This window comes from Homo sapiens, chromosome 17 (genome assembly GCF_000001405.40).
Source record: "Homo sapiens chromosome 17, GRCh38.p14 Primary Assembly".
NCBI lineage: Eukaryota > Metazoa > Chordata > Mammalia > Primates > Hominidae > Homo > Homo sapiens.
The window spans coordinates 18,496,173-18,522,546 of NC_000017.11; the positions used below are offsets into that span (position 1 = coordinate 18,496,173).

The window sequence follows — 26,374 nt, forward strand, 5'->3', positions numbered from 1 at the left end:
TCCTCAGGCCCCCGTGTAGTCCTCAGAGTGGTGGCAGCAGCAGCGACTGAGAGCTTGTTGGAAACGCAGCATCCCGCACCCCACCCCACCTGCGAGATCAGAGTCTCTGTCTTCACGGGACCCCAGATGAGGCCCGCACATGAAAGCGGGGAAGCCCTGGTCCGGAGCGGACTCCTGGCCGTGTTGCTGAGATGCACGGCTGCCACGCAGGGCAGGGCACGTCTGGAGCCTGAAGTTGGCACTGCACCTTCTCCTGCCACCTGAGACGCTGCTGCTGGAAGGAGGAGGGGAGGGGGAGGGTCCTGGGCCTGGCCCAGGAGGCACAGGCCAAACCCCAGCTGGGAACCACGTGTTGCCAGGACCCCAGAGGCCGCCACTGAGCTCCTTCCTTGGTTCTGACCAGGAGAAGGAAATGGACCTAGTCTCTTAAAAAGCCTTCCTTGGCCGTCTCCAAACCCAGGAGGGTCTTCAGTCCCTTGGGCGAGGATGCTGTGGCCCACACTCGCTTTGACACCCTGCGTTCCCAGAGGCCACATCTGTACTGGCCAAACTCACGTGAGACAGGTGGCCCCAGAGCAAAACCTTTCTAAGACAGTGTCCAAGAAGAAGCTCAAGACCTTCCCTGAAGCTCTGGCCTCATATGAGAATCCCACTCTTGCCAGACCCCACGTCAGATCCTTTGTGTGGGAGGCAGGCCTGTGCCGTCCACCCTACCGCAGGTCTTTGGACCAGCACGAAGCTCCATCTGCTGCTGTCACACCTGGCAGCCATTTCAGAGGAGCCGTGGCCTGCCTGGGGTGTCCCTCTGTGGGGCATCTGTCCAGGCTGCGACACCCACCAGCTCCCCACTCTATAACTGAGGGCCACATTCCCTACAAAACATCCCCCACCAGCCCACCCAACAAACACACATACAGTGTGATTAAAGTAAAATTCAATGCATGTAAATATCTCCATCAGGGAATCATACAGAGAAGACCCAAGGGGCCATTAGGAACAGACTAGGGTGTTCGTTTTTTAAACAGAGGCATAAATAATTTTACCCATGGCAGTTAAATACACAGTGGTGTGACGGCACTTCCTGGTGGTCACTTGAAGTGGTGCACTCAGCAGCGGGTTCCATCTTTCACCCACTTGCCAGGCCTGGCATTGAAGATTTCGTCTCCAAGGGACCAGGGTGGCCCCAGCTTGAGAGAGGAGGCTCCGATCAATCCAGGGTGCTACTTGGTAGGAGGTCAAGTAAAGGGCTTGATGGGGAACGAGGTGAGAAATAAGAAGTGAGGCTGGGGGATATCACTTTCCTCCATCTCCCCAGGCCCTGTGACCTCGGATAATGCAGAGCTGGCTCCATCGTTAAGTTCTGTGCTGGCAGCTTTAACCCCTCCTGTGGGCCCTCAGAGCGCTGACATCTCCAGGCTGCTGGGCTGCACCGCCGCCCTGTCCTTCTTTGCCTCGTAGGGAAATACAGCACCAAAGATATCGTCATGGAAGTGCTTCTGGCTCTTTTAGGTAAAAACAGAGACCAATGTGTCAAGTCCAGGCTGGAATGAGCCCCTGGGGTTGCCCAGCTTCCCTATCACATGGACCTTCATGAGCCATCTGTCTTCCCAACTGTTATACTTTGATTGCGCTTGAATCTGGTTTAGACCCTAAACCCGCTCAGCACCTGCTCTGGAGCAGGCCCTCTAACCATTTCCAAAGCTTTACTTGGCATTCCCATTTCCTGCCCTGTGCTCATCCCCCACCCAAGATGCTCCAGGAAGTGTGAGCTTTCAGATTAACACATTTGGGAAATGCTACATCCTTTCTTTCCTCCCAGCCTTGAAGGGTCCCGATGCACAGCAGCACGTTGAAGGCCCCCAGAAGTCTTGTAGTAAAGCAACGTGCTTGCCTTGGCTTAACTAAGCATGTCCTAGGCTATTCGACCTTGTAACCTTTTGGATGCCAAACATCTACCGACTCATTTAACACATTTGGGGAAATGCCTGTTATCTCCTCACTGTTCTTCAAACACGCCAGCTTAACTCCCACCCCCGGGCCTTTGTATCTGCTGCCCTCTCCAGAACAGCCCAGAGTGTTTCCTTCAGTATCCACGGGGCTCCTCCTCACCATCTCAGGTTTATTCTCAGACGCCGCCTTCCAGCTCCGCCTTCCCTGGCCACCCTATTTAAAATTACACTCCCCAGTGTCCCCTGGGCTATTTCCTGCTGTTTTTCTCCGAAGCACTACACCTCTTCCTTGTTTGGGTTTGTCAGCCCCAGTGGAATGTAAATAATTTTTGCCTGATTCATTTACTGCTCTATCCCTAGCACACAGTAGGTGCTCAATAAATATTCAGTTGAATGTATGAATGTGTCTTAGGGAGAGTATGGAAGTCACAATCACAGGCTTTGGAATCAGAGAGACGCAGACTGAACTCTAGGCTCTCACTGCTGTAGACCCCATAGGCCCCCTTCCCTCTGTAAAACAGGGTGCTTCCCTCATAAAGTCCTCGGCAGGACTGAAAGAAATGTCACATGAGAATCCTTGGCAAGCACTTGGCCCAGTGTAAGCCCTTGATAAATATCACTATTATCTTCATCAATAAAATGCAAGCCCTTCCTGCTGGGAGGATGAGGGTGAGCAGACGCCAGCCTGTGTGTAAATAAGAAGTGTGAGGTTCACACGAGGCTGACGGGGGGCAGCCTTGCTCTCCCCTGTGTTCACAGCCTTGCTTTGGCCACACAGATACTTTCTGAAAGGGGGGTTTGGGGAGAGGGCAAGTAGACTCTCTTGCTCCCATTCCACAGATGGAAAAATGGAACACATTCACCTGACTTCTCAAAGCTGCCAACCAGTCCAGGATGTGCAGTGGGGCCTTCTGACAGCCCACCCAGCTCAGATCCCAGCCACTGCTAAGATTCCCTTGGGGTCCAGAACTTTTCTGGGCCTGACTCCCCTGGGTCTACCTGCCACCCCTGGTCCTGGCTCCAATAGCCTGTGCCCTTGGCCAGGACCCTCAGCCCATACACCCACTATTACACCTTGAGCTGAAAGAAATAGTCCTCGACCTGCTCCTCATTCAAGTTCAGCTAGGCAGCCACCAGCTGCTAGGGTGTGGGCCACATCCCAGGCCATGCACACAGCCCTGCAAACATAGAGGTGGCCCGGCTCCTTGTGGAGCACACGGAGCACCTCGCTGGCCAGCTGCTGCTGCAGGATGTCCTGAACACAGACCTAAAACCAGAGGAAACGGTGGGTCCAGTTCCCGGCCACTGGAGACAAGGATTGCAGGCAGGACTGCTGGCCTCAGGGAGGTGGGGAGAGGGCACTAAGGGCTGTGGAGTGAGTCCCCTCCCAGCCACGACCTTGCACAGGTCCAGGCTCAGGATGAGGAGGAGCACAGATGCTCTGGGGGCTGGGCTGGGAGTAGAGAGATAAATGCTGGACACAGGCCTGCCCTCAAGGGGCAGACTGTCCAGTGGGGCTCCCAGACTGTCTCTGAATTTGCCATGCTTCAAAGAGGCATCAATGAAGGCAGTCCCCCTGCCCAGGGCTCTGCCTACACCCCTGAAAAGTACCCTCTCAATGCAGACTGTCCATCGGGTCCCTGCAGGGTACGGATCCCGGGCTTCCCAGTTAGAAGGTCCAGGAGTCAGTCGGGGACTCTCTGCTCCTGCTCCACACAGGATGCCCAGTGGCCCCAGCACTGGGCATAGAGCACTGGGCCCGAGAGGTGCCCTGATGGCAACAAATGTGTGAGAGCCGAGAGTCTATTCTGACACCTCAGGCTCAGAGGGCAACGCGGCCCTGGGGGCAGGTGAGCCCGTCTGAGGGCCATGGTGGGTTTGAACGTAGCCGGCCTGGACCACCTCTCCCAGGGGAGTCGCCTGTCCCGGGGGCCTGCTGACGACCTTCAGCAGGCTGGGCTCTGGGCTCAACCCGCCTGTGACCTAGGTTAGTCCTGAACCTCTCCGGTCCTGTCACTTCTCTTGGAAGAGAGGGCGTAACAGTCTTCACAGCCCCACTCTGATGGTTGTGAATTACCTGCATTTTAGAGCTCAGGAGCTGCAGGCTCAGGGAGGCGAGGGGCCTGTGGGGACCCCGGGCTCACACTGGAGCCTGCGTTGTGTACTGCTTCACCTGCTTTGAGGCTGCATTTACCTTGGGCTTGCCAGGCAGGCAGGAATAGGCTGTGGGCACCGCAGGCAGCACCCCCTTCCGAGCCATCTCCAGCATCTCCTCCTGGTAGATGTGGTCCTCATTTGGGCTGCGGCACTCGAACACCGGGGTCATGCGGCCTCCCTGCACTCCTGCAGGAGTCCCGGGCTGTTGTTACCATGTTGGCCAGCAGGGCGCTATGGCTCAAAGCCGAACTGGAATTCTCACTTCACTCCCACAAGTATCCTAGCTAGTTAATAGCATTATCCCCACTTTACAGATGAAGAAACTGAGGCCCAGGGCATTCCAATCACTCATACATAGTCACACAACTGAAAGTGCAGATGCAGGATTCCCTCAGCCCATCGGAGGTCAAAAGCAGGGACTTTCCCGTTACCTCCACTCCCGAGAGAGGGAGCCCCGGTTCCAATGCCGGAGACAGGAAGGCGGCCGTTCTCACCCACATAGGCCCCACACAGGGAGACAAACTTGGGAGGCCTTCCCTCCAGAGAGGTCCAGGAACCGTTTGTGGGGCTACGGTTCTGCTCCTAGGCAGGCGCTGGCCTCTGGTACCCTCCCACCTGGGAAGCCTCCAGCCACACCCTTTTGCTGGGAGTCATGGAGCCGCTGCTGCCAGAAACTGAGGAAGGGAGCGATGCCTGTGCCAGGCCCGATGAGGACACGAGGATGGGAGGGGTCCTCGGGGAGCCGGAAGCCGCTGGCGCTGAAGAGGACAGGAGAAGAGGGGGCCAGTCCTCAGACACCCCGGGCCCACGCACACACAGGATGGCTGGGGAGCTGGGCCTGTGGGGAGCGGTCGTAGCGGGTGGAGAGCAGCTCCTATTTGATTTCCCACGCCCTGCAGGCGGCTTCACTTCTGTCCAGCCACCAGCACCTCCCCCAGGTCCTTCTGAAAAAGGGCCAAGCTCACTGGACTCTGGGCCCTTCCAGCTCTGCTGTCATCGCTGTCTCTGCTAGAGACAGCCACACCAGTGTGACCCCAGTGTCTTCTTTGTGGGCCAAGGAGCCCCGAGCGGCACCTAAACCCCAGATCCCTCCCTTTCCTCCCCGAACCTCCAGGGGTCGGCGGTCCCACAGGGGACAGAGTGGAAGGGGTGCTTACTTCCGCACAAAGCAGGACACTTGGTCTTGGGGCTTCAGTTGTTGAGCCATGTGCCGCAGACGCCGTGGTGCAGGGGACCCTGGCCATCTGCAACGATACCACAAAGTGACCAACGTCCCCCCACTGCCCATGCGCAAACTGTACCAGCTGCTCCGCCCACACCACGGCCTCCTTGGACGCCCCCACTCAGGCACTCTCAGGACTCAATGAGCAGCTCTTTGTCCTCCTGGTTCTGAGATCCACCCGCTGTGAGCCCAGAGCTGAGGAAGGTTGAAAGGGACTTAGAGAGGTTGCGAGTTGCTCCATCTTCAACGCAGAAAGTGAGTCCCGGAGAGGAAGAGTGACTTGGACAAGGTCACTCAGGTCATGGTGAAATCAGGACAGCTCAGCTTCCCTGACTCCTACTCCAGTGCTCCTTCCAAAGAGTTTCTCCAGGAACACTCCCAGCTCACCACTGAGCTCCACTGACAGCAGCAGGAAGTGGCCCCTCGGGGTGGCTACTGCTGTGCGTGCTCATGAGCGTGGCCCTTGCTGGTTGCAACCCTGGGTGGCGGATGAGCTCCGCGCGTTTCAGCCTGCTCTGGCACCTCGCTTTCCTCCTCAGTTGCCCCTCCTGGGCTGGTAGAAACCCAGGAGGTTTCTCTGGGTTGCATTTCTTTTACAATGGCCCAGCACTTGCAGGAGGCCTCCAACCAACTGCAGAGGTCCCCCTGGTTTTCCTCGGGATTAAATTTTGCTCTCACAGGACGTGTCTGCCTCTCCTCTCCTGGTCTGGGTGGGTGTTCTCTAGCAGGACAAACAGAGTCTCTGGCCAGTTTTTAGAAACTGTGTTTTTGTTTCCTAGACAGAGGGCTCAGAAGTATAGGCAGCTCCCAGCTTTGCCAAACCAAGCAACACTCAGTTACAGAGGGCAGGGCGGGGGGCAGAGGCCAGTGGTGGAGCCAAGACCACCTGAAAGAGATGTTGGCCTACCACTCTATGGCAGCGTCACCCCCTCTTCACTGTCCTCAGTGACGCTGACCTTTCCTTCTTGGCTTCTGGACAATGAGAATCATCTAATTATTTCTACACTCATCTCTCCACTGCTGCCTCTAGATGCTCCCTGAGGGCAGGGCTGATGTCTGTTGTATTTCCACACCTGCCCCAGTGCTGAGCACGGAGAGATGTGAAATAAACCGTCACTGAATGAGCTCAGTGAGTGAGTGAACAGCCAGTGCAGAATCTCCCCTGCGTTCAGGCTGCACAATCAGGAAGACTAAGGACCACTGGGCTCTCACCAAGGGTTGGGTGCTCTCCAAGTCTGATCTCATTAAATTGTCTCAAGAGTAGTGGGACAGTGGAGTGGTGGAAGACTTGGACTCAGCAGTTAGACCACCCAGGTCCAAATCTCAGCTCTCCACTTACTCACAGTGTGACTTTCTGTGCCACCTGTAAAATGCACACAGTACCTACCCTACATGGTAACTGATCATATACATACAGAAGGCTTGGTTTACTGCCTGGTTCATAGAGCTGTCTCCCACATGCCTCCTATTACCATTAACAACTCTGGGCTGTAGGTGTTCCCTCCCTCCTTGAACTGATGAGGGAACTGAAGGGGCAGAGCGTGACTGCTCCACAGCCTCTGCCCCAGGCTCACCTCGAGTGTGGTACATGAGCACGGCCACAGTCAGGTGGATCGCTGTGGGCGTGTGATCCTGGGAGGAGCTGATGGAGTAAAACCTGGGCTTCAGAATGGGGAGCAGGGAGAGCAGGAAGCCAGCAGACACCTGCAGGGATGGGAACTCCTCCAGCAACTCCAGGAACGTGGGGCTGTTGGTGAACTTCCACTTGCTGTACTCTGAGGACTGAAAGCCAAGGGTGATGTGAGCGACTCAGGGCGCCTGCCCTGCTTTGGGGAAAAGGCTGTCACAACCCAGTATTCATTCATTTCTTCACTCACTCAACAAACAAGTCCATGTGCCAGGCACTGTCCAGGGTGCTGAGACTACCAAGCTTAAGAAGAAATAGTTCCTGTCCTGGAGGAACTCAGTCCGGTACACTTATCTAACTTATGTGACTTCCACTGTCAGCAACTCATGGGCTGGGGTCAAATCTTTGTTGAATGGCACTTTCCCCAGCTGTCGTATCCTAGGCAGTTTGGGTGGTAGGTGGGCAAATCATTAAAAACAAATCAAAATCTCTAGTGAGAAAATCTTTTTCATTGTCTTTCAATCTTCCCGAATCCTTTGAGGGGTCTGTTGCTAGGCTAGGCTTACTCTCAAACCCTTGTAAATCCGTCCCTCCTGCCTGAAAACACTCTCCCTCAGCCCCTGCTTTTATCAAACAGAGCAAAAGCAGCTCTCAAGCTCAGAAGGTTTACCACTGTAGAATTTAATGATATTGTTTTGTTTTATTGCATTTATTTTTGTGATTACTTTCCATTAATGGCAAGTGACATTATTTTTCCATTTAGAGTGATTTAAAATTTTTCTTAAAACACAGGTAATCAAATTTTAAAAACTGAGTTGATTTCTATGAAAATATTAAGTAATGGTGTAGGTTCTACACAGATATGACACTATGGAACAGATGGTTCCTGGAATTTGGGAAATGTTGATGGGCGGCGTTCCCTAACCTGACACTGCTTAGAACATTGATGGGCGGCATTCCCTAACCTGGCACTGCTTAGAACGTTGATGGGTGGCGTTCCCTAACCTGGCACTGCTTAGAACGTTGATGGGCGGCGTTCCCTAACCTGGCACTGCTTAGATAGGGGAGACACCTCTGAACACAATAGTGTTTGTAGTGCCATTTAGATCTACTGGGTTCTGATAACTCATGGGTCTTTTTTTTTCTTTTTAAATAAATAATTACCTTTTCTTGATCACTATTGTATAAAACTTGGAAATACAGAAAAACATGTAGAATAAAAGAAAATATAGAAAAATATATAGAATAGAATGAAAAATCACTCATCATCTCGCCACTCAGAAATAACCACTCCTAATATATTGGTAAATGTTTTTCTCTCTGTGCACCAACATAGCTGTTATTATAGTACATATATTTTATTTTTGTAGCCTGTTTTATTTCCTTAACCTCATAGTATAAGCATGTTCCATATCATTCAAAATTCTTTATAAACATGGTTATAAATGGCTGTAAGATATTTAATGTAGAGAAGCCTCATAATGGATTTAATCATTCCCTAGCTGTTGGACATTTAACTATTCTCCAAATGTTGGGTTGTTTCTGGTTCTGCCTATTATCATGTTGTGATGAATACATTTTTGTTTGTTTGTTTGTTTGTTTGTTTAATAGACAAGTCTCACTCTGTTGCCCGGGCTGGAATGCAATCATGTGATCATAGCTCACCGTAGCCTCAAATTCCTGGGTTCAAGCAATCTTCTTCCCTCATCCTCCCAAAGCACTGGAATTACAAGTGTGAGCCACGGCACCTGGCCTGAATATTTTTATGCACAGCTCTTTGTCTTTATTTTAGATGGTTTCCTTATAGTAATTTCAGAAGTGGCATCCCCAAATGGGAAGATTTTGTAAGGCTTTTAGGATACATATTGCTGGACTTTTTTTTTAGAAGGATGAAACATGAAGGTATTCAGATCCCCTGGACCTACATGATGGGACATACCCTAATTTGTGTGTGGGGTGGTGTTGTCACTAGAAAGAGCTCAGACTCTGCTACATTGGGCAAGTTACCCAACTTCACCAACTCCTGTTGGTGCAGGTCTGAGTAGTCACTTCCCAGAAATCCAAGAGTGACTGTTCTTCACAGCTAGGCTCATGAGTGCTCATATTTTAGCTTTAAAAGTACAGATGTGGGCTGGGCATGGTGGCTCATGACTGTAATCCCCGCACTTTGGGAGGCCGAGGTGGGTGGATCACTTGAGGTAAGGAGTTCAAGACCAGCCTGGCCAACATGATAAAAACCCATCTCTACTAAGAAAACATAAAAGTTAACTGGGCATGGTGATGCGTGCCTGCAGTCTCAGCTACTTGGGAGGCTGAATCAGGAGAATCTCTTGAACCCGGGAGGCAGTGCTTTCAGTGAGCCGAGATCGTGCCACTGCACTCCAGCCTGGGCGACAGAGCGAGGCTCCAAAGTACAGATGTCATTAACTTCAGTTTGTGTTATTTCCCTTTCACGAGAAGGGCTCAAAAAATATTTGGGAAAACTACTTGTCTCAACACCCTAAAATGCTTTTTTTTGTAGCAGAAGCAGGAAAGGTTTGACCAAACATACCTGACATTAGGAAGAAATGCAACAGGCACTCATGCTTCCTGGTGTCCACGATGCATGTGCCAGGAGCCGAGCAGAGGGCCTGGTGTTGAGCATTTCTGATCTTCCCAAGCAGCTTTCCCCACCATGGATTACACAAAACATTGGTTCTACAGGATGCTAACAGGTATTCCTTGCAAAAAGGAATTTTGTTGTTTAGAAAAACTGAGTTAATGAAAGTGGAACCCATTCTTTTGTTATTTGAGAATTCCCAAGATGAGGATATGATATTGAGCATTTGCCAAACTCACTTGATAATAAAAACCTTTTCCATCTCATAGGATTGATGTTCCAAAGACCAAACTTTGAGAATCACTGCTGACAACAAGCTTACAATATAATATTTCTCTTTGTATCTCACAAATAGGAAAGCTGAGGTCAGGTAAATTGACCAAGATAGCAAAACCTAGTGATTCAAGGACTCAGGGTCAGAACCCAGAGCCACCTGACCTCAAACCCATGTTCTGTTCCACTCTCTCCCCGAAAGGGGCTCAGACTGTAGGGTGCCCCTGACCCAAGTGAGTGCCTGAAGCCAGAGGGCGAATATGAAATCAATATCAGAGCTTGAATAGAGAATCCCAAACTGACTGTGTTGATCCTGGAGACTGGGCCACACTAGAAACTGATGCAGGGTGAATAAGCCAAGGAAATGAGCAGCCTGGAAGCTGAGCATGAGGAAGGCAGTTGGGATAAATTTTGGGGACTGCATGGACTGCTGTGTCATGGAATCAGCTGGCTTATGGGGGAACAGGATTCATCTCTTGTACCTGGGGTAAGGTGGAGAGAGGAGGAGGAATAATATTCTATTTGAGGGCTGCCCAAGAGTCTCCTCTTATTGCCTCGCAGCTCTTGACTACGTTAATTCTCCATGCCTCCCACTATGAAATCATCAAGTATTCTTCTGTCTCCTGTTGTCCCCAAAGTCTCAGCCTGGGCTGTTTTCTTCTAGGGCTCTGCTTTTCCACAGCTTTAAAACCTCTCCACGTGCATTATTCTGGCTTCAGAGGTGTGGAAGAAATGGATTCTGATAACGCAATAGCATAATATCTAAAGCACTGCTGGTCCATGCACTCGACAAAGATTCATGTCCCAGGCGCTGGTCTAGGCACCACAGATACATTAGTGAGCCATCCGGACACAAATTCCCGGCCTCATGGCATAGCCCTTCGCTGAGGGAGAGACGATAAGCCAGATAAAGAAGTCAAATGTTAGACAGTGATCCGCAATAAAGAGAAAAGGGGGAGGGGCCCGACATTTCAGATTGGGTGTCCAGAGGGCCTTACTGAGAAGGGGCTTTTGAATTTCCATCATAGCCTTTTGAGCAGAGAAGGGATTTAACATTTGCTGCACTTCTGGCAGCTGACAGGCATTGCACACTTACATATCCCATATTTTCTTTTCCCCTGTAACTTAACAGATGAAGACAGTGAGGCTCCAAGAAGGCAAGTCATTTTTCCTCATTAGAAACTTGTTCTGACACCAGAAAGCCCACCCTCTCTCTGCAATCTCACACTCTCTTCTTGAAATAACCAGGCCAGCCACTATGTTACCCCATTTTATAGGAAAGGAAACAGAGGCCAGAGAGCCTTGGAGGCCTGCGGAGCTGGGACTGGGGTTCATGTCACCTAACGCCCAGTCCAGTTTTCTTTCTGCTTTAGTGGACTGGGAGCAATGAGTATAGGATTGGTTTTTTGTTTTTTGTTTTTTTTTGGTTTTGGTTGTCTTTTGTTGTTGTTGTTGTTGAGATGGAGTCTCGCTCTGTCACCTAGACTGGAGTGCAGTGGCACGATCTCGGCTCACTGCACCTCCACCTCCTGGGTTCAAGCGATTCTCCCACCTCAGTCTCCCAAGTAGCTGGGACTACAGGTGCGTCCAGCTAATTTTTTGTCTTTTTAGTAGAGACGGGGTTTCACTGTGTTAGCCAGGATGGTCTCGATCTCCTGACCTCGTGGTCTGCCTGCCTCAGCCTCCCAAAGTGCTGGGATTACAGGCATGAGCCACCGTGCCTGGCTTGTTCTTTCTTTTTTACTGGCGTACAGAAAGAAACAAAAGACTCAAGGGCTTGTCAAAACTTCTATGCATGTGAAATGATAGAAGTTGACTTAACAAGAAGCGGCAGTGACCAAATGACTCAGCACCCGATTGCACCGCACCGGTCTCTTGAACAGCTGCGAGGAGACTAAAGCCTTCTAAACGCTTCTGGTGGAAGGATGGGCCACAGGCCAGCAACATGAGCAGGACCTGGGAGCGTGTTAGATGTGCAGAATCTCAGGCCTCATCCCAGACCTACTGGATCAGAATCCACATGCTAACCAGGTGATCATATGCATGTTAAAGTGTAAGAAGCCCTGCTCTGACTGCCGCATCCTGTGGTGCAATGAGGCTGGGTGTCCCCACAGAGCAGTCAGGAAGCCTAGGTATAGTTATAGGAAGACTCATGCCAGGTAGGACTGCGGAGCTGGGGTGACATGGGCAGAGGCCTCTGCAGAAGCTTAGCTCTGGTTCCCCCAGCAGCGGCAGCTCATTTTAGAGGGACTGAAGGGGAGGGTATGGGATGGTGGTATTTCTGTTTCATTTACTGTCCCATTGAGACTAGGACTGGTGGAAGAGATGTTCTCTATGACCTGCTGAAACCTGAGAAGGAATCTGCAGGAATAAACAAAGCCTTTAGAGCTTACTAATTCTGATATTTGGAGGCCTTTGGAAGGTTTAATTCAATTTATTATTTACTGATGACCTACCGTGTACCAGACATTGCACTAGGTACTGGGAATACAAAGGGAATCAAATGTCCTAGTGTTGTATTGGGAAGGGAGGGTCACATTTCTTGCATGTGTCTGTGTTTGGGGATGAGATGAGTGAGGGGCAGGCCTGCAGGGATAGAGCAATTGCATACTTGGTGTCACCTGGGTCCCGAAGGGCAGGACGAAGGACAGATTAAGGAAGGCTTCCTGGAGGAGGTGGCTCCTAAGCTGTCAAGTAGGCTAAGAAATGCTCTATGCATGGGCTACCCACTTCCATACACTCGCCACACACACTGACTCACATGCACTCACAAACTCCCACCCACACTCACACAGCATGTATACCTATTCCATCCACACACACACTCACATGCATCCACACACAATCTCCCACCCACACTCACACATCCGCATCCACACACACATTCACAGGCATGTATACCTACTCCATCCACACACACTCACATGCACTCACGATCTCCCACCCAGACTCACAATGCACATCCACACACACACTCACAGCATGTATACCTACTCCATCCACAAACACATATAGGCAAATTCACACACACCCACACATGTGCACAGGCACCTACACACACACACACCACATATTGTAGTATTTTTCTGGGGAAACAGAGAAACAGTCACTCTTTTGAAGAACCTCAGAAACTGCACAAGAAGAGCTCTTCATTTATCATCAAAATTCAGATAAAGTTGAAGGTCTAACTTCCAAGAAGATCTAGACTGTTTTCCAGATTGTTATAAATGCATCTTCGGATATGAAGGAGCACCTCACGGTTGCATTCAGATACCTCCTGGGATGTGATTTAGTCTTGATGATTATCATTACATGTCAGTGAATATAGTTTGATGGAAACTTTTAGGGAAACAAAAATTTTCAGAAACTGTGTCCAGATTTACTGTAGTAGTAGTAAACTCTGAGGATACATTTTTTGACCAGGCAACTATTGTTGGGGGCCCTATACCTGACTTGGAGAGGTGTGTTTGTGCCTTTTAGGTAAGATGAGGAATAGAGGGCCCTCAGACTTAAGAGCTACATGTGATATTTGAGATAAATTGATCCTTAACATTTTTCCCAAGTCAGAGTTCTCATTACTTGTCTCCTTGATGCCAATAGAGTAAAATGCAAAATGGCTCACCACAAATGCAAAATGGCTCAAAGCCCCTCCCTTTCAACTGGCCACATCCTGGCTTTCCTGGGCTCTTTCTACTGAACCAAGCTCTGTGTTCCAAGAAATCATCCTGTTCTCAAATCTCTGCACCTCGTTCTCTGCCGAAGCCATGCCCAAGCAGTTCCCTTTGCCTGGTATGTTTCCCTCTCCCATTTTCCTGCAACACTGCCCCTCAACGTCTTCAATGCGAAGTTCCAGCCCCTCCTTCTAGAAGCTTCCAGAAGCCAGTATTGGGCTTTGGCATTAAACAGCCTGTGTTCAAACTCCACCTCTGTCATTGACAGGGTGACTCTGAGTATGTGGGTCCTTTTGAGCCTCTGTTTTCTAATCTTTAAAAAAAAGGGAGGGGAAAATATTTACTTCACACTTTTATTTAGTTTGTCAAAGATTAAATGAGACAATGTGAGTGAAACTGACCAGCATACAGGAGATAGCCAAGAAATAGTTCAGTGGATAATGGCATTTCTCTCCTGATGAAGTTGGATTAACCCTCTCTTCTACAGTCCGGAACGAACTGTACCTTATACAGCTGCCTTGGATCTGCGGTTTCTGGGTTTGTGAGGTGGGCTCATCTTGGTCTCTTGCCTGGTGACTTTAGCATAATCCATGCTCAAAAAATTAAATTAAATGAAATAGACTCTTTGGGTATCGCTTTCTTTTTTTCTGCCACATTCCTTCTAACAGCCACCGAGCCTGAAGACAGCAAAGCTGCCCAGACTTTTCTCCTGGGCTCCAGCCCCTCCTGTCTGACTGCTCAAAAGAATCTCAGCAAGCAGGTCTCCCAGGCACCTCAAATCCAGCCTGTGTAAACCTGAGCTGCCTGTGTCCACACTCCTATATCCTAGAACCATGGTTCTCAAATGTGGGTGTTTTTGCCCCCCAGGTTACATTTGGCAGGGTCTGGGGATGTTTTTCTTTGTCACGACTTAGACAGAGGGTCCTTCCTGGCGTCTTGTAGGCAGAGGTCGGGGGTGCTGCTGAACATCCCACACTGCATAGGACAGTCTCCGTAACAAGGAATGATCCTGCCCCAAGTGTCACTAGTGCCGGGTTGAGAAATCCTGATCGAGAGGGAGCCTTTACCTGGTAGATCAGGCCATTGCACCGCTCTGCTCACCATCCCCCGGGACTGGTGTTGTGGAAGACAATTTTCCACGGACTGGGGGGCTGGGGGGAATGGTTTCAGGATCAAACTGTTCCACCTCAAATCATCAGGCATTAGATTCTCATAAGGAGGGCACAACCTAGATTGCTAGCATGCGCAGTTCACAATAGGGTTCGTTCTCCTGCGAGAATGGCATGCCGCTGCTGATCTAACAGGAGGCAGAGCTCAGGCGGTAATGGGAGCAAGGGGGAGCGGCTATAAATACAGCTCACCGCTCACCTGCTGCTGTGCAGCCCGGTTCCTAACAGGCCATGGACGGTGCTGGTCTGTAGCCCAGGAGTTGGGGAATCCTGCTCTACAGAGTTTCCAACCTCAGAGATGAAGCATCCCCTCTGTAAGTCAGAAAGAAATTATTCAAGTAGGAGAATTAAAACAGGATCACAGAGAGGGAGGCTGAAGAATTTGACTTTCTGTGTTTACTTGTATGAGGAAAAACAGTACATAAAGGCATCCACAGTATTTAATTTGTTTGGATAACAGTTACAGATAAACAGGTACACCCCATATACAATTACTAATACTTTTTATACAGTTCATATTTCAGTACATCAACACTATTTTATTTACACTCTATTTATGCACATTAACATCTTTCTAAAGTCAGTGCATTGTCAACAAGTTTTATACAGTCATTTACAAGGTGAATGTGGTTAATAGTTAATTTAATAAATTTTCCGCTAGTTCATGAATTAAAAAAATTAATTACAACCAGTATAACAAACACAGATCAAACAACATTAGTAGATTGTGCTACCTGCTTAAATAAAACATCTGTAAAGAAATTATTTAAAATCTTCCACTTTTTAATGGGACATGTCCAGGTAGGAAAGGACAGATTTTATATACCGAAAATCTTGAACTATAAAGTATGCATTTTGTCTGACTTTATTACATTAGATAATTTAGGCCACTCCTACCTATTTGCAATTATATTTTTTCTGAAAAGGATTTCAATTTAGGTAGCCATTTAAGATAACCTTTCCAAATGCTCTGAGAACTAGATATTAATAGTTACTGGCCTCAGATATCAGAACACAAATGCTTAGTTACACTGGTAATTACTACCTATGAGGAAGAAAGTGTAGTGGAATCTGACAATTAATGAGAATCAACTTGCAGGGTCTAAATGAATAAACAAAGACCAAAAATAAGGTGAAACATTTCCTTCAAGTATATATTAAAAAACTACACCAAAAAAATTCTACCTGAAATAAATAATATTTATACTTTTGTCCCAGTCTTGAATATTTAGAGGAAAAAATGAAGTAAACAAAGAAACATAACTTTCAATGACTACTGTAAAATTTTTTAAAAAAGACTAATATCAAAATAAAAAAATTAGTGGACATGCAAACAAAGCAAAACTAAAGTTGACTTCCTAAAACCACCAATTTCATTAAATATACTTATGAACTCCTAATGTCTGGGATGTGTTTTGTTTGTAATTTATAGCCCTTGGAGCCATCAAATACACACAAGCAAGTTCATTTGCATGTGTTCTCTCTTTTTTAAAGTGCAAAACAAACATGGAAAAGAACCACCACTAATTGTGAAACGTGATCTAGCTCCGATGCCGCTTACCTTCCCAGAAGCTCTTGTTGCAACATGTGCATGTGAAGATGGTGCAAATATTGGCAACTGCTCCCCTTCCCTCAGCATGGGCGGGGCCGGGGGGTGCAGAATACATTTCTGAGGATACCTGAAGTATCCTAAATGTAAGATGCCTCCACTGGGAGGGCCATGGTAGCTGGATTTCCCAGGATGTTTTTCTTTCTACTGGGTCTCCCTCTGGGTGGAAGGCACATAGCTCTTAAGAGAGCCTCCCTTTCAGACTGACCACTCTATGCCCCTGCCACCAATGACTGGTTGTATCTCAAACATAAACACAACGGCAAAAACAAAAAGCAAGAAAGACAAAGAAAGGGTATGGAAACTTTAAAAAATAAATTGAAAAATCCTCGCCCATGCCGTAAGAATCATTTGCACACCTTCATGATCTTGCTTTCTCCATCTTGTCAACAGAATGGAATAAAACTTCAGGAAAAAGGAGGTAGCATATCATGTCATCCCTAGACAACATTACAATTTTTTGTTTTTTACTTTGACTCCAAGGAAATCTTTAATATTTGTTATGATTATTGATAAACTCTATACTCACTACATATTTGTTCATATCTGGACAAGCACAATTGAATTCTTATTTGGTCCCAGGTGGCTGGTGCCAAACTTTTTGTTTACAGGCTAATGGTGGGATCTGCCTGAAAGTTCTCTATCAGACAACTTGCATGAGACTTCAAAATAAAATTACTACTACTCTTAAAGTTAACTATTTTAATTAGAATTTGTATTCTAACAGGATAAAATAACTACATTTAGCTTGCCTCTCAGTGACACTTTTGCCAAGTATCAGCTACAAGGAGTCATCTCCCTCCCCACCAAGCTATCTAGCAGCCAGAGTGGTAGCTTTACTGTAACACACAGTACTTTTCGTAATCAGACTCAAAGTCTTCATCCATACTGCTTGTGTCTGCCATCTTTTTGCCATCAATCTTTGGCAGAAATTGTGCGTAGTCTATCCTCTGCTGCTCATAGAAAAGAATGTAGGCAGAGTCGGTGTCAATTTCATCAGGGTGATGTTCCTGAAGGGCAAGAAAAACCTTTAACAAAAAGCCATCACTATTATGGCTCTAAATCCTTGCCAGGAAAGGGAAGACCAACCGTCTGTAATTACTAAACCTGATTGCTTCCAATAAGCTCACTAGTTTGGCTGTCTCACACCTGCCCCTTTAAAATGAGCCCCATTATTTCCAATGTTTGCTTTGGAGAAAATATTTTGACCATAGACAAGTCAAAACAGAATGACCTAAAACCCCATCAAATTCTATTTATTTATTTTGTATTTATTTATTTTTTTGAGATGGAGTCTTGCTCTGTCACCAGGCTGGTGTGCACTGGCACGATCTCAGCTCACTGCAACCTCTGCCTCCTGGGTTCAAGTGATTCTCCTGCCTCAGCCTCCTGAGTAGCTGGGACTACAGGCATGTGCCACCACGCCTGGCTAATTTTTTGTATTTTTAGTAGAGTTGGGCTTTCACCATATTAGCCAGGATGGTCTCGATCTCCTGACTTCATCATCTGCCCACCTTGGCCTCCCAAAGTGCTGGGATTACAGGCGTGAGCCACTGCACTTGGCCCAACCCCATCAAATTCTAACAGTCCAGAAGATAGGAGCTTTTTGCATTAACTAACTCCTTTTTTTTTTTTTTTTGAGACAGAGTCTTGCTCTGTTGCCCAGGCTGGAGTGCAGTGGTGCAGTCTTGGCTCACTGCAACCTCCACCTCCCAGGTTCAAGCCATTCTCCTGCCTCAGCCTCCTGAGTAGCTGGGATTACAGGCATGTGCCAACATGCCCAACTAATTTTTGTATTTTTAGCAGAGATGGGGTTTCGCCATGTTGGCCAGTCTGGTCTTTAACTCCTGACATCAAGTGATCCACCTCCTAAGCCTGCCTCAGCCTCCCAAAGTGCTGGGATTACAGGCATGAGCCACTGCGCCCGGTCAACTAACTCTTTATTTTTCCTCACTACTCATGTTTTCATTCCCTACTCTGCATATCACTTTTGTTTCTTTAATACTGACAGCATCTATATATTGATTCTAACAGAAATATCTATTTCCTATTCAAGAGATAGTCCATTATTTCAACAAATGTTCTCCAGTTCTGTTGATATTCTGTTTCTAACTTTCATTCAAAGATTGAGAATGTTTACCTCACAGATGCTGCCATTGTAGCAGTACCACTTGCAGTTTGGGTTTTTGGCATAAGTGACGTAATGGCCCCCACTCAGAATTCCTGAATGGCACTGTAAGAGATAAGAGAGTGGATGTATGTTAGTAGTTAACTGTACTATGGCCAGGGTATAGCACTAGGATCTGAGCAGGAGAACAGTGATCATGTAAATGATCAGTAGGTGAGAAAATATTTTAGAACCCTCTAACTTTCTCTAAAACCAAAATAAGCAAAAAGCAAAATACAAAAGTCATAAGCTCCAAGTCTTGTGTGGATAAACAATCATTTTATAATGTAATTACTATTATTATTATTATTTTGAGACAGGGGCTTGCTCTATCACCCAGGCTGGGGTGCAGTCAAGTGATCACAACTCTCTAAAGACTTGGCCTCCTGGGTTCAGGTGATCCTTCTGCCTCAGCCTTCCAAGTAGCTGGGACCACAGGCAATGCCACCATACCTCGCTCCATTTTAAAATTATTTGTAGAGATGGGGCCCAGGCTGGTCTCAAACTCCTGGGCTCAAGCGATCCTCCTGCCTCAGCCTTCTAAAGTGCTGGGATTACAGGTGTGAGCCACCACACCTGGGCAGGCCCAGATTTCTACGTTAACTTTCTCTATCACTAAGCTCAATGCTAGGAAATAAGCAGGACCTGAAAAATACTTGCTGATGAATACATGAAGACAAGTGAACAAAACACAGACCACTCTCCGAAAACCATACAATAAACCACTTACTGAAATTGCATATAGATTATAAATAGGCTTAATATGAGTGTCTTCTCTTTGGTCATCAGTGCTGTCTTCTTCACTGTGGTTTCCAAGCTGACCATTGCTGTAGCCATTGCCATATGCTTCATGCTCATAAAGGAATCCATTGCCCAAAGCTACCTCGTGGTCCTGAGGAGTGACCAGCTCTGGTTGGCTGCCCCCCCGCATATGCCCTCAGCTCAAGGCATCAGCCAGCTCACAGATCTGCCCAGCCCCATTCTCTTTGCTGGCATCCAAGTTCTTCTTACTACTTGACAGTTTATTTTTGCTGCCAATCTGGGGCAGCCGGAGCCTCCCTTTGCTCCTCCCCAAAGTCCGTGGGCAGCTATTAGGGCTGCTGTTTTTGCTGGAGGGACAGCTGGTTCCACTTTTTCTTGATGAAGAAGGAGAACCTGTGAACAGGACAGAAGAAAAGATTCACAAATCCAAATGCCACAAAGTAAGCCAGCCCCAAATGCTAACTCTGAGGTTAGCTTCACAACTGTACACACAAAGGTAAAGACAGGGGAGTCGTGACTGGCTACCCTTTAGTTCCTATTATGTAGCAGGTAAGTTACATTTTTGTCTTCTTCAATGCCGAGTCCCTATAAGCAACAATGTCCTGAAAATGTAAGGTAGGTTATAGGGACTCAGAAAATAGCAGAAAGATGATTTATGTCAGATTCAGTTGAAAAAAATCTAATTATTAAGAGTAAGGAGTTTTCCAAATACATATTCCTCTCCTTTGTAAAATTAGACAAAAAATGCGACCACCATTTACTGAGTACTTCCTATTGTTAGGCATGGTACTGGGAATTTCTTGCTGTCCATTGTTACCTCTATGTCTCACAAAAATCCTGTAAGGCTTTAAACTTTTTGGTTATAGCCTCTTACCCCTACCCCCTTTTATACCTTTAAAAATTATTGAGAACCTTTAGAACTTTTATGTGAATTTTATCTATCAATATTTCCTGTATTAGAAACTAAAACTGAGGCATGAAAAAGTACAATACATTAGCACAGACTTCACTGTCAAAGTGACGATATTATTCCATGTCAAGTTGTCTCTTACACCATTGTACATATGTGAGAGAATAAAAGTGAAAAGGCACATATTGTCTAGTATTTTTATTAAAATAGTTTTGGGCCAGGCACAGTGGCTCACACCTGTAATCCCAGCAGTTTAGGAGGCCGAAGCAGGAGGTTCACTTGGGTGCAGGAGTTCGAGCCCAGCCTGGGAAACATGGCAAAGCACAATCTCTACAAAAAATACAAAAATTAGCCAGGTGCAGTGGTGCATGCCTGTAGTCCCAGCTACTCAGGAGGCTGAGGTGGGAGGATTGATTGACCCCAGGAGGTCGAGGCTGCAGTGAGCTGTGATCTGTGTTGCACCACTGCACTCCAGCCTGGGTGACAGAGTGAGAACCTGTCTCAAAAAAATAAAAAATAAAATAAATAAATAAAGAGTTTTGATCCTCTAGACCCCCTGAAAGATGGGGAACCTCAGAACTTTCACTATAAGGGGACAAGACAGCAGCTACCATTCCTGTTTACCATACATCAGGCACTGTGTGAAGTGCTTTACTCTCCATGTGTCAAACTCTCAACTCTGTAAACCTGGCATTATCTCCATTTTACAGATGAGAAAATAGATTCAGGGAGGCTGAATCTCTTGATAAAACTTACATAGCTCAAATACAGATAGGTCTGATTCCAGATAGGTTCCTTCCACCCAACCAACCTGATGTTCCAGAACAGAAGACAGAGAAACATATGTAGCCTACAGGAGTCCCAAGAAAGCAACTGCATAAGGCCCCCAGGCCTCACCTTTTGGGCTGCTGCTGATGTTAGCGCTGAGTGAGGATGGGCTTTTGCTCAGGAGCATGTCCTCTTCCCCAGCCAAACTCTGCACATCCACTTTCTTCACCTCTCTTGCCAGAATCCTGGGCTTGGAGAGCTCATCCCCCTGGGGTGTGAGTGGTTGATGCTGGCAGAGAGCCGGGTCTCGTGGTACCAAAAAAGCACTCGGATCAAAACTTTCCCGAGGAAATTTGACAATTTTCTGTGATTTTATCCACTGATCATTTACAAATTGAAATCGCTTAAGGTGAATAATCTGGAGAAGTAAAGGTAGAAAACATCACATTAAAGCGTTCTGAAGATACAAAATTTACATGGAAAAAACAAGTCAAATACATGTGAATGTTTGGGAATATATAACAGAACATTTACTCTTCATTATTTTTTAAAGACTTCAAAAATATGGTTTCCTAAAGGCCTCTACACAGGCCCCAGTGCACTGGTGTGCTTGTGCACACACTCAACTCAGCAGCGTGGCACAGCCACGTGACTGCGCAGTGGGTACTGCCTCCAGGCTCAGTTGCTCTTCTAGAGTCCACAAAGGGCTAGCCTGAGCTTCCACTCTCCACAGAGCCAGAAGTTCACCCTCTCCTGAAGTTCAAATTCACCACGTTGTACCCCTTGTGGCAGTTCTCACATCACACTGAATTGCAGTTACTGGGCTACATGACTGCTCTGCTTGTTTTATTTGATGATTATATGAAAATATATACTTGTTAAAATTCATCAAACTGGATACTAAAAATCTATGCTTTTAATTGTATGTTAATTATACCTCAATTTTTTTTAAAAGGTCTCCCCCTCGGCCAGGCATGGTGGCTCACACCTGTAATCCCCACACTTTGGGAGGCCGAGGTGGGTGGATCACGAGGTCAGGAGATTGAGACCATCCTGGCTAACACAGTGAATCCTCGTCTCTACTAAAAAAAATAAATAAAAAAACACACAAAAAATTAGTCAGGCATGGTGGTAGGCACCTGTAGTCCCAGCTACTCGGGAGGCTAAGGCAGGAGAATGGTGTGAACCTGGGAGGTGAGGTTTGCAGTGAACTGAGATCTTGCCACTGCACTCCAGCCTGGGTGACAGAGCGAGATTCCATCTCAAAAAAAAAAAAAAAAACGTCTCCCCCTCCTCCCCACCCACCTTGTCCCCAAGCCTGCCCCTTCCCTCTAGTTCCTATCTGTGGAGCTAGCTGACAACCAGTGTTATTAATTTCTTGTGCATCATTCCCTGGGAAGCTTTTCTGGTCTAAGAAAAACCTACATTCAGCTTCACAGAGTAGTGTGACAGAGACATAATTAGAATAAGAAAATACGGCTGGGCATGGTGGCTCATGCCTGTAATTCCAGCACTTTGGGAGACCAAGGTGGGCGGATCACCTGAGGTCAGGAATTCGAGACCAGCCTGGCCAACATGGTGAAACCCCATCTCTACTAAAAGTACAAAAATTAGCCAGGTGGTAGTGGTGCATGCCTGTAATCTCAGCTACTCAGGAGACTGAGGCAAGAGAATCACTTGAGCCCAAAAGGTGGATGTTGCGGTGAGCTGAGATTACAACGCTGCACTACAGCCTGGGTGACACAGTGAGACCCTGTCTCCAAAAAAAAAAAAAAAAAAAAGAAAGAAAATACATATAAATATCTGATTAAAATAGGCCAGTACCTTACAGTTACACTGACCTTAATGAATAGGAAGATTTGTCACTTCAAACTCTCCTGACAAACAAAAGGACAGTCTCCTAATCCATGAAGGGAGAAGGCAGAAGTAAATTAAATCTAAAAGAACACACAGGCCCTAGTGCACTGGCGTGCTTGTGCACACACACTCAACTCAGCAGCGTGCCACAGCCACATGACTATGTGCAGTGGGTGTTGGGGGCTCCGGGCTCAGTTGCTCTTCTAGAGTCCACAAAGGGCTAGCCTGAGCTTCCTCTCTCCACAGAGCCAGAAGTTCACCCTCTCCTGAAGTTCAAATTCACCACGTTGTACCCCTTGTGGCAGTTCTCAGATCACACTGAATTGCAGTTACTGGTCTACATGATTGATCTCTTCTTCTAGGTTGTAAGTTCGTTAGGAAAAGGAACTACCAAATATTTGTAGAAAGATTCATCTCTGTATTCAACATAAAAACCTTGTACAGAAAGTGTTTTAAACACTGCTGCAGGAAAAGTCTTATTCTCAAAAATAACAAAACCTCCTGTTTGTTCATGTCTTCTTTCTTTTATGCTAGATTCCTGCTCTCTCAGAGGCAGGACTGTAACATACCAGGAAGGGTGGAAGCCTCCAGAGATCCAGCTTCTTTGTTGCTAAAGCAGTGGGTCTTACACTTGGAACAGTAGTATATCTCATCTTCCCCTAGCTCTTCCTCACTGGTGAAAGCACGGAGACAGCTGTCCAGGTTGATGGGCTCGACTTGCACTCGCCAACTCTGCTCCACACTCTCATGCTCATCTACAACCTGTAGGTGGAGGGAACAGGAGGAAAGGGGTGTGTGGGAAGGCATTTAAACTGGTGATCTAGCTATGCATCAACCTCTCGGTCACTCACCCTTATTTTACTCTATATAAGGAAAAAGAAAATATAACTTGCTGGGTATGGTGGCTCAGGCCTGTAATCCCAGCACTTTAGGAGGCTGAGGTGGGGGGAATTGCTTGAGTCCAGGAGTTCGAAACCAGCCTGGCCAACAGAGTGAGACCCTGTCTATGTGAAAGAAAAACCTAAAAATTAGCTGGGCGTTGTGGCGCATGTCTCTAGTCCCAGCTACTCAGGAGGATTGCTTGAGCCTGGGAGTAGAGGTTGCAGTGAGCTGTGATTATACCACTGCACTGCAGCCCAGATGACAGAGAGAGACCCTGTCTCAAAAAAAAAAAGGGAAAAGAAAACACAACCCAAACTAGAGTCTGAGCAAATACAGCACCTACACATTTATTCACAAATGCTACACTGTAACATTCTGGATAAAATTTCTATTTATATGATCATAGCTTTTCTTGAAAAATTTTTGAATGCTTCAAAATGACAAAAAGAACTGCATTTATTTAACAACTTTGGAATCCTATAAGGGATTACATGTGAGCTGGCCCTCAAGCCAGGGGTGATGATAGTAAGCCATTTATCTTTAATCAGAAAGCCAGAGCATTATTAGTATGCTGCAGAGTTTACAGAGGCTAGGAGAAATAACATGAAACACAGAAACCAGAGCTGGATGAAATAAGGGCACAGAAAAGCTCACCATGAGAAGACAACACAGCAGAGCATGAAACACCACAGGGTACAACTCATTTACATCTGATCCCATGTAACACAGAGTTATCAGAATACCAAGTCTATACTTATCTGTCTCCTCCCTCATGGGGCCTTTTTATCTGAGATGGCAACAAAAGGAAGAACAAGCTCAAGAGTGTGCTGCTTTTGTTGAGAAGGCCCCTAATACCCACCCAAACCTTTGGGGTCCTGTTAATCAGCATGTTAGGCTGTGGAGCAAGAAGGAGTTAAGTGTAAGAAAGGAGAGAGAGCAAAGAATGGGCGGGGTGCAGGGATATGTGTTGGGGGTGGTGTAGAATGAAGAAGGAGGAGAGAAGGAAGGATCTAGAGTGCAGCAGAAAAGAAAGAATTTTTCCCTCTCCATGCCTGGCTGCTACCTGACAAACAATCAAGAACCATAGAGCTGGGATCCTTCTGTTTGTCCCTCTAATGTATGGGAAGGTGGGTGAAGCATCAGGGTTATGAATGCTACCATAAGACTTCACACAGTTTATATTTGTGTCCCAAAGCAGAGCCCGGACCACAAGGCCCATACTGACTGCCTCTCTGTGGCAAACGTCACATATGTCCATCACCCACCCTATTTATTGCTCCTCACCCTTCCAGAGGTGAACTTCCTCCATGAATTTCCCTTCCTGAAACTCACGATGGGAACCTTAGGCTGCCTGGAATACAAATTGGCACAGCTCAAGACACGCAGCTTAGCATGGGTTTTCAGGCGAGACTTTTTCCCTATGTGAGAGTCACGAGGCTGTCAAATGCTGTTATAAACAAGCAAGGTTGGGTTTGATCATGCAGTTACGGTTCTAGCACTGCATAATTACCCAGGCTAAAGAGCTCATTTAAAAAGGGGAACTTAGAGGAAAATTCTTTTTTTAGAAAAGGACTTGGGTTATAGACTTCTTTTTTGAGTACAAATTCTGTAGTAACAAGATATTAACTGTCATCATCTTTTGAACTGGTCACTCAAGGAAAAAACACGTGCTTCAAAAGGAAACGTGCTGTATCATCGTTGTTGGAATGAGTAGAAAAAGGGGTGTATCATATACGATAGTGTTTCCTTTCTCATGGCCAGTTAAATATTATCTCTATTATCTCTACCAGGAATACTTTATGGCCAACCACAAATTAGAGTAAGCTAGTAAAGAATGTTGAATTTTATTGACTATATTTTCTGTGGAACACAGGCTACAGTGCTAGATGAAGACAGGGAGGAAAGATGGCTGATAAACAACATATTTGTGGACTGTACTGACAGTAATTTCTATTTATCAGTAAAAGTTCCCAAAGTGATAAAGATTCCCTTTACCTCTTGGGATCTATGCTTAGATCCTCTACTATTGTTTAAACAGTCTATGAATTACTTATAGGCACCCTCTTCTTTTTCAGAGTTGCTTTAAAGCTCATCTTAACACAAAACACAGGAAATGAAGTAATAGTCTTCATATAAGACTATTAAAAAAAAAAAGAGAGAGGCCTAAGAATTTGTCTAGTTTAATTTTCTTTTTTTCTTTTTTTTTCTTTTTTTTGTTTTGAGACAGGGTCTTGCTTTGTTACCCAGGCTGGAGTGCAGTGGCGAGATCACAGCTCACTGCCGCCTTGATCTCTTGGGCTCAAGCAATCCTCCAACCTCAGCCTCCCAAGCAGCTGGGACTATAGGTGCACAACACCACACCTGGCTAATTTGTGCATTTTTTGTAAAGACAGGGTGACATCATATTGCCCAGGCTGGCATCTAGTTTAATTTTCTACTGAGGAATCTGAGGTCCAAACAGGAGAGAAATGTAAAGGATAAGAGTGAGTGTCCCTGTATTTTTTTCTGATTACTATGTATAATATTCATGTGGAAAATTTGGAAAGCAGAGAAAAATGTAAAAAGGCATGGAATCCTTTTATATTCTTAATACAAAGGCAACCACTGTCAAAATTTTGGCAGATTTTCTTCTGTCCTTTTTCCTAAATAGTATTTTTTTCAATATTGAAGGTATTATTTCCAGTATATGCAACTTTATGTCTTGTTTTTAAAAAAATGTTCACATATCATAAGCATGTTCCCATAAATGTTA

The 26,374-nt window shown here is 46.5% G+C and overlaps 2 pseudogenes across 1 annotated transcript, besides 2 other annotated features; both read right to left on the reverse strand.

The window, feature by feature from the left end:
- Nucleotides 894-1,394: an enhancer, noted in NCBI's record as "H3K4me1 hESC enhancer chr17:18400380-18400880 (GRCh37/hg19 assembly coordinates)". NCBI's record gives its function as "activates a minimal SCP1, AML or CMV promoter by ChIP-STARR-seq in naive H9 embryonic stem cells {active_cell/tissue: H9 hESC(naive)}" and the evidence as "EXISTENCE:reporter gene assay evidence [ECO:0000049][PMID:30033119]".
- NOS2P2 (nitric oxide synthase 2 pseudogene 2) lies at nt 918-7,113 on the reverse strand (annotated as a pseudogene).
- Nucleotides 1,395-1,895: an enhancer, noted in NCBI's record as "H3K4me1 hESC enhancer chr17:18400881-18401381 (GRCh37/hg19 assembly coordinates)". NCBI's record gives its function as "activates a minimal SCP1, AML or CMV promoter by ChIP-STARR-seq in naive H9 embryonic stem cells {active_cell/tissue: H9 hESC(naive)}" and the evidence as "EXISTENCE:reporter gene assay evidence [ECO:0000049][PMID:30033119]".
- Nucleotides 15,090-25,080, reverse strand: USP32P2 (ubiquitin specific peptidase 32 pseudogene 2; annotated as a pseudogene). Its single transcript, NR_003554.1, has 5 exons — nt 23,310-25,080; nt 21,013-21,301; nt 19,174-19,598; nt 18,417-18,509; nt 15,090-17,286 (listed from the first exon to the last, which is right to left on the reverse strand). The product of NR_003554.1 is annotated as a ubiquitin specific peptidase 32 pseudogene 2 (transcript).
- Nucleotides 25,081-26,374: the final 1,294 nt, after the last annotated feature.